General features: G+C 47.1%; 1 annotated feature.

Moving 5' to 3' along the window:
* Window positions 120-620: an enhancer, noted in NCBI's record as "H3K4me1 hESC enhancer chr20:52214839-52215339 (GRCh37/hg19 assembly coordinates)". NCBI's record gives its function as "activates a minimal SCP1, AML or CMV promoter by ChIP-STARR-seq in naive H9 embryonic stem cells {active_cell/tissue: H9 hESC(naive)}" and the evidence as "EXISTENCE:reporter gene assay evidence [ECO:0000049][PMID:30033119]".

Below are 8,428 nucleotides of genomic sequence, written 5' to 3' on the forward strand. Positions count from 1 at the left end.
CCTTGCATCCATCAGCAAACCTTCATATGTCTCAATTGTGTCCATTTATCTTTATCTCTAACAAAAGCCTACACCAGGTACCACTGGCAGGTGCCATGCACGTGAACGCGGAGTCTGCTGTTGGAAATGTGTTGGGAAGGGAGAGTTCCCGGTAAGAATTATGTATTTAGGAGCTTTCCAAATACTGATGGCATGTTGAGCCATCAGACTGGATAAAATCACACGAAAGAGGTGCTAGTATTGGGCCCTTGGGTGGTTCAGCGCCTGGAAGTCAAGGAGAAGAGAAAGAGAGCAAAGGGGACTGAGAGGGAGCAGGCAGTGAGGTCTGAGGGACCGCAGGAGAGCATGGGGACCCAAATGCAAGGGAAGAAAGGGTGTCAGCTCCATCACGTGTTCTCCTCCAGACAGAGACAGTACTGTATATGCAGGTTTCTCCAAACTTCTTCCTTTCTAGGTTTCCCTTAATGCTTTCTCTACCTATAATCCAAGACTTTTACCCAAAAAGACTTTTACCACGGATATCAGATAAATTCACCACCCCTTAATGGCTTCCTATTGCCTTGAGGGAAAAAAAACTCCACAGCTTCCCCCACCAGCTCTGCAGATCTGGTCCCTGCCTAACTCCAGCCTCAAGTCCTGGCAAGCCCTTCACTGAGGCATCTGAACTCCAGCCTTCTCTCTGACCTAGAGCCTTCAGCCCTGGGGTTCCCCTTGCCTAGCACCTCCTTTCTCATTCTCTTCAAGAACTTGGCTTCTGTTCTGAGAGTGGTTTAAAACCCCTAGTTCCCTGGGAGGGGGAGGAGGGGGGAGGCTCTGACATAGTGTCCTGGTCATGAACATCTTCTCTCCAATAACTTGGGCTCAGATACTCAGATTCTACCTCTGGAGAGCTGCATAACCCTAGAATATTATTTAATCTCTCTCAGGTTTCAGTTTCCTTATCTATAAAAGGGGAATGATGAAGATGATGAAGACGACAATTATAATAATTGTTTGTGTTACTTATATAAGTAATAGTCACATTTCTTCAAGACTCTGGAGAATGAAATGAGACACACTACAAAGCTTGTGAGCCTAGAGTTTTGGGGGCCCTGGCACTGTTCTAGGCATGGGAGATAGAACATTAAGCAAAACAAACGAATTCCTTGTCCCATTGGGGCTTATCTTCTTGAGGGAAGCAGACAACACACTGGTAGTTATATTTACAACCTACTGGGACTGGGTCATAGGAGAGGGGAAAAGCCTGCTGTTATAGATTGAGGCTCCCTGAGGAGCAGAGACCTCCCAGGAAGTCAGGTGGCAAATCATACCGGGATGGGGAGGAGTGTTCCATTCATTCAGAGGGAACAGAAGGTGAGAAGGACCAAAGAGGAAGAGAGCCAAGCTTGGAGAAAGAATTGGAAGGCAGCCAGTGTGTCTGGGGGCCATGGAATGAAGACAGGATAGGGACAGAGGAGCAAGAAATCAAGGCAGGCCCGTGTGAAGACCGGGGATTTGACTCTCGTTGCAGCAGGATATCAGTGATCAGTTCTCTGTTCCCTAGTATTTGCCAAATCTGCAACACTTGATAGAGCTCTTTCCTGCCTTGCAGTTGGGTCCCCATGCTATCCTGATCTCCGTCAGTCCTCGCTGGCTGCTCCCTCCCAGTCCCCTTGGCTCCTTCTTTAGACTCTCTTCTTTGACTTCCAGGTGCTGACATGCCCAGGGCCCAATGCTAGCAACACTTTCTTATTCATGTGATTTTATCCAGTCCGAAGCTTCAGCATGCCATCAATATTTGGAAAGCTCCTAAATGTCCATATTTCCCACCTGGAACTCTCCCCTCAACTCCCAAAACACATTTCCAACTGCTGATTTTGTCTCTACATGAGAGGTCCCTGTGTTTACAGGGCAGAAATGTAGACCGTCCCATTCTAAGCGGCCACAATTGACCTTTTCAAAAGTCGTCGTCTGGTTATGTCATGGCCCTCATGCGTCTTAGAATAAAAACAAATTCCCGATAACACAGCCCTCATGCATCTTAGAATAAAAACAAAGTTCCCGGCTGGGCGAGATGGCTTGTGAGATGGCTCATGTCTGTAATTCATAATTCCAGCATTTTGAGAGTGAGAGTTGGGAGGACTGATTGAGTCCAGGTGTTTGAGACCAGCCCGGGCAACATAGCGAGACCCCATGTCTACAAAAAAATAAAAAATTAGCCGTTGTGTGCCTATACTCCCAGCTACTCAGGAGGATGAGGTGGGAGGATCACTTGAGCCAGGGAGGTTGAGGCTGCAATAAGCCGAGATTGTGCCACTGTACTCAGCCTGGGCAACAGAGTAAGATCCTGTCTCAGAAAACAACAACTAAACAAAAAAAAAACAACAACAACAAAACAAAACAAAAGTCCTGAGAACATGGCTGTCAAGATCTGGTGGGCCATGCTAAGACTCTGGGATTTATTCCAAGAGCACTGGGAAGCCACTAAAGGAAATGGAAATAAAACCAAAAGAACCATTGAACGTCAAGTAACTGTTTCTTTCCCAAGAGATGTTAATGTCTCCCAAAAGACCCCATCCTGGTTTAACAAAGAGGATATGACAAACTGTAAGAAGTTGGAGTCCTGCTGGGTGTGGTGGCTCACGCCTGTAATCCCAGCACTTTGGGAGGCCGAGGTGGGTGGATCACGAGGTCAGCAGTTCGAGACCAGCCTGACCAACATGGTGAAACCCTGTCTCTACTAAAAACACAAAGGGAGGCAGAGGTTGCAGTGAGCTGAAATTGCGCCACTGCACTCCAGCCTGGGTGACAGAGTGACACCCTGTCTCAAAAAAAAAAAAAGAGAGAGAAAAGAGAAAACTAAGGCTCAGGATCATTCAGTAACCTGCCTGAGGTCACACAGCTAACAATTTGTTTCCCTACTTTCCCGACTACAATGAAGCCAATGCACTAGTTGAACCCAAGGTCAGACTCCCCCTTTATCACCAACCTAAATTTCCTCAATTCTAAAAATTGGCACTGATGCATATTTCTTGACCCCCTATTTCCAGGATGTTTACCAGTCAGTCATGTGTGGCTCTGGGGCAAGGTTGAAACGTCCGCACCCACTGTCCTCCCTTCCCCACATTCTGGAACAGCAATACAGTGTTTCACTTGGTTGCCTGAGGGCTAGTTTCCTCCCACCTGTGTCACTCCCTTGAGTTCTTGGTATACCTGTATTCAGGACCCTCTTTTTCACCAGACTGTAACAGACTGTAAATCTTTTTTGTTTGTTTTTTTTTTTTTTTTTTTTTGAGACGGAGTTTCGCTCTTATTGCCCAGGCTGGAGTGCAATGATGCAACCTCGGCTCACTGCAGCCTCCACCTCCCGGGTTCAAGCAATTCTCCTGCCTCAGCCTCCTGAGTAGCTGGGATTACAGGCGCCCGCCAACATGCCCTGCTAATTTTTTGTATTTTTAGTAGAAACAGGGTTTCACCATGTTGGCCGGGCTGGTCTCAAACTCCTAACCTCAGGTGATCCGCCCGCCTTGGCCTCCCAAAATGCTGGGATTATAGGCGTGAGCCACCACGCCCAGCTGAAATCTCTTTTGAAAGGGAAACCGGGCACGGTGGCTCATGCCTATAATCCCAGCACTTTGGGAGGCCAAGGCGCTAACCTAAACCCAAGAGTTCAAGACCAGCCTGGGCAATATGGCGAAACCCTGTCTCTATGAAAAATATAAAAATTAGCTGGGCATAGGGCTGGGCACGGTGGCTCACGCCTGTAATCCCAGCACTTTGGAGGCCGAGGCAGGTGGATCAGGAGGTCAGGAGTTCGAGACCATCCTGGCTAACATGGTGAAACCTTGTCTCTACTAAAAATACAAAAAAAATTAGCCAGGCGTGGTGGCGGGCACCTGTAGTCCCAGCTACTCAGGAGGTTGAGGCAGGAGAATGGCATGAACCAGGGAGCGGAGGCTGCAGTGAGCCGAGATTGCACCACTGCACTCCAGCCTGGGGGACGGAGCGAGACTGTCTCAAAAAAAAAAAAAAAAATTAGCTGGGCATGGTGGTTGGCACCCATGGTTCCATCTACTCAGGAGGCTGAGATGGAAGGATCTCTTGATCCCAGGGAGGTCAAGGCTGCAGTGAGCCGAGATGGCATCACCATACTCCAGCCTGGGCCACACACCCTGTCTCAAAATAAAAAGAAAGTGGGGAAGAAAATGTAATACAAATTAATATACCAACAGCAATTAGTGAGTACTTTTTCCATGGAGCTGGGAGAGAGAATGTTTGTAAAATTAAAATGTTCTACGCTAGAAATCAACTTTCCTTCTATGCCTTCTTTATTTCACCCCTTATAGCTAGTTAATAAATCTCACAAATCCTATCCTTCTAATCTCTCTGAAATGTATGTACCCTTTCCTTTCTATTCTCACCACCCATGTTTCTTTGTTTCCTTCTAGCCTGTGTAATAATCTCATAATCGCATCTCCTGTACCTGCCTTCTTTCTAGTCCAGAATACTTTTTCCTAAATTCCGCTAATAACCATCCTGCTACTGCTTTGTGTGAAATTCTCCAAAAAAAATTTTACTTTTCCAAAATAAGTCAAGCTCCCTCTCTTAGGATGCAAAACCACACCATGGTCCCAGCCAATCTTTCAGCCTGATTCACTCAGTATATATTTATTGACCTCTCCTTCCTCCCAAGCACTTGGCTAGATAGTAATTAAAGAGTGAGGCACAAAACAAATTGGATTCCTCCCCTCATGGAGCTTATATTTTAACAGGAAACATAGACATTGAATAAATTAAAACAAAAAAAGACAAGAATATAATTACAGTATCTATCCTAGAGAAATACACTCATGCAGAAAGCATACACAAGGATGCAGCACTGTTTCCAGTAGTGAAAAGCTAGAAACAACCTACATGTTCACCAAAAGAAAATGGCCACAAAAACTATACCATATCCAAATTATCCAAATTTTAAAATATAGACAACAGGCCGGGCGCGGTGGCTCACACCTGTAATCCCAGCACTTTGGGAAGCCGAGGTGGGCGGATCACGAGGTCAGGAGTTCAAGACCAGCCTGGCCAACATGGTGAAACCCCGTCTCCTCTAAAAATACAAAAAAATCAGCTGGGCACAGTGGCAGGCGCCTGTAATCCCAGCTACTGAGGAGACTGAGGCAGAAGAATCGCTTGAACCCGGGAGGCAGAGGTTGCAGTGAGCCAAGATCGCGCCACTGCACTCTAGCCTGGGTGACAGAGCAAGACTCCATCTCAGAAAAAAAAAAAATAGAATATAGACAACAGGCCGGGTGCAGTGGCTCATGCCTGTAATCCCAGCACTTTGGGAGGCAGAGGTGGTCTGATCACCTCAGGTCAGGCGTTCGAGACCAGCCTGGCCAACATGGCGAAACCCCATCTCTACTAAAAATACAAAAATTAGCCGGGCGTAGTGGCGTGCGCCTGTAATCCCAGCTACTTGGGAGGCTGAGGCAGGAGAATCACTTGAACCCAGCAGGCAGAGGTTGCAGTGAGCCGAGATCATGCCACTGGGCAACAGAGCGAGACTCCCTCTCAGAAAAAATACACACTGTGAATAAAATGTTTACTAGTTCCATATCCTGCTTTTGGATAAACATTTGATACACCATTCTATACTTACTCCTCTCTTTGCTCTATTCTGACTGCCTGCACCCCTCTCCGCCACCCAATCCCCCAACATATATGCCATATATATAAACATCAACCTGTAACCACCCTAATCAGCCCCAAGGTCACTCGAAATGCCACCTCCTTCAGTTACTCTCTCCTTTGTTCAATGCCTCCTTTATGACACTGTCTGCGTTATGCCTAGCCCTGGGTATGTTATTTCTCTTACTACCTGAATAGGGGGGAGGCTCTTCCAAGGGAAGACCAGTTTCCTCCATGTTGTGGAACGGTCAACACACAGGAGGTGCTCCAATATTTAGCTGTTCCGCTGTTCTGTGCTCCTTGGATTTTTTTTTTTTTTTTTGAGACAATGTCTCACTCTGTCACCCAGGCTGGAGTGCAGTGGCGCGATCTCAGCTCACTGCAACCTCTGGGGTTCAAGCGATTCTCCTGCCTGAGCCTCTTGAGTAGCTGGAATTACAGGCGTGCACCACCACACCTGGCTGATTTTTGAATTTTTAGTAGAGAGGCAGTTTCACCATGTTGGTCTCCAACTCCTGACCTCAAGTGATCTGCCCGCCTCCCAAAGTGCTGAGATTGATTACAGGTGTGAGCCACTGCTCCTGGCCTCCCTGGATTCTTTTTTTTTTTTTTTTTGAGAAGGTGTTTCCCTCTTGTTGCCCAGGCTGGAGTGCAATGGCGCAATCTCAGCTCACTGCGACGTCTGCCTCCCCAGTTCAAGCGATTCTCCTGCCTCAGCCTCACTAGTAGCTAGGATTACAGGCGCCTGCCACCACACCCAGCTGATTTTTTGTATTTTTAGTAGAGACGGGGTTTCACTATGTTGGCCAGGCTGGGCTCGAACTCCTAACCTCAGGCGATGCACCCGCCTCAGCCTCCCAAAGTGCTAGGATTACAGGCATGACACACCTCGCCCGGCTCCTGGATTCTTTAATACACTCGTTTTTTTCCTATCTCACGTGACATGTACATATTAAGCACCCACTATGTACCAGGCATTGTTCTAGGTGCTGGAGATGCCGCAGGGAACCAAACAGATCAAAATGCCTATCCTCATGGAGTTAACATTTGATATTATAGTGTGTTAGATATTAAAATAAGTACTATGGAGAGAAATACAAGGGGCAAAGGGGCTACAGAGTGGAGGGGTGGTGAGGGAAATGTTAAATAGATTGGCCCTGAAAGGCTTCATCATAGACACATCTAAATAAAGATCTGAAGGGGGTGACAGTGGGAGCCACAAGGAGTTCTAGGGGAAGAGCATTCCAGGTTCAGGGACAGGCAAGCGAAGTCCTTGAAGCAAAGTGCACCCAGTGTTTCAAAGAACAGCAAGGAGGCCAGCATGGCATTGTGGCTGGCGTGGCGACAAGCCCGGAAATTAGGATGGGGATGGTGCATCTTGATTGCACGGATCTTTCTGGCCATGGTAAAGATTTTGAATTTCATTCTGAATGGGCCTGAGAGCTCTGAATAATCTGAGCAAAATGGCCGGGCTCGGTTAGTAAGTGGCGTATTCAACGGGTTCACACCATCAGGAGCGCTCCTAAAATAGTAACACAGGGTCTCTCTCCTTTGCTGAAATCACTCAGATATTTAAATGTATCTCTATTTCAGGTTACTTCTACAACCATAACAGTAATAATAATAATAGTAAGAAGAGGACTGAGTGCAGTGGCTGGCTCACGCTTGTAATCCCAGCACCTTGGGAGGCCAAGGCCGGCGGATTGCTTGAGTCCAGGAGTTCGAGACCAGCCTGGACAACATGGCGAAACCCTGTCTCTACAAAATACAAAAATTATTACAAAATTAGCCAGGAGTGGTGGCAGGCACCTGTAATCCCAGCTACTCAAGAGTCTGAGGCAGGAGATCACTTGAACCCAGGAGGCAGAGGTTGCAGTGAGCCAAGATCATGCCATTGCACTCCAGCCTGGGCAAAAAGAGTGAAACTGTCTTAAATAAAATAAAATAAAAATGTGCCGGGCTTGGTGGCACGCGCCTATAATCCCAGCTACTCAGGAGGCTGAGACGGGAAGATAATTTGAGCCCAAGAGGTCGAGGCTGCAGTGAGCAGTGTTCATGCCGCTGCACTCCAGCCTGGCCGACAGTCTCAAAAAATAAAATAAATAAATAAAATAAGAAAAACAGGGAGGAGAACAGGAGGGATAAGAAGGGGAAAAACAGGCCGGCCTCGGTGGGAAGCCAGCACTTTGGGAGGCAGAGGCAGGAGGATCACGTGAGGTCAGGAATTCCAGACTAGCCTGGCCAACATGGTGAAACCCTGTCTCTACTAAAAGTACAAAAATTAGCCGGGCATGGTGGTACATGTCTGTAATCCCAGCTACTTGGGAGACTAAGGCAGGAGAATCGCTTGAACCCCGGAGGCGGAAGTTGCAGTAAGCAGAGATGGAGCCACTGCACTCCAGCCTGGGCAACAGAGACTCTGCCTCAAAATAATAATAATAATAAAAGGGGAAAAACAAAATGATTTACTGCACCCCCACTACGTGCCACTCTCAGCTCCAAAGCTGATTTATATTATGGTGTTACTTAGTTCTCCTGATAACCTTCATGCTTAAATCCATTTGCAGATGAGGAAACTGGGGCCTGAGGTTAACTTTCTGACTTAATTCTCTTACTTGAAGATCTACAACTAGAAGAAAGTGGGATTCTAGCCCAGATCCAATGCCAAAAGCCATGCTGACTCATACCATTCTTTTCTGTCCTAAGTGGTTGACCTTGGCCTTAGGAAAACAGAATAATAATAAGGATCACTGATTGGGCATTG

This window comes from Homo sapiens, chromosome 20, assembly GCF_000001405.40.
Source record: "Homo sapiens chromosome 20, GRCh38.p14 Primary Assembly".
In the NCBI taxonomy this organism is placed as follows: Eukaryota; Metazoa; Chordata; class Mammalia; order Primates; family Hominidae; genus Homo; species Homo sapiens.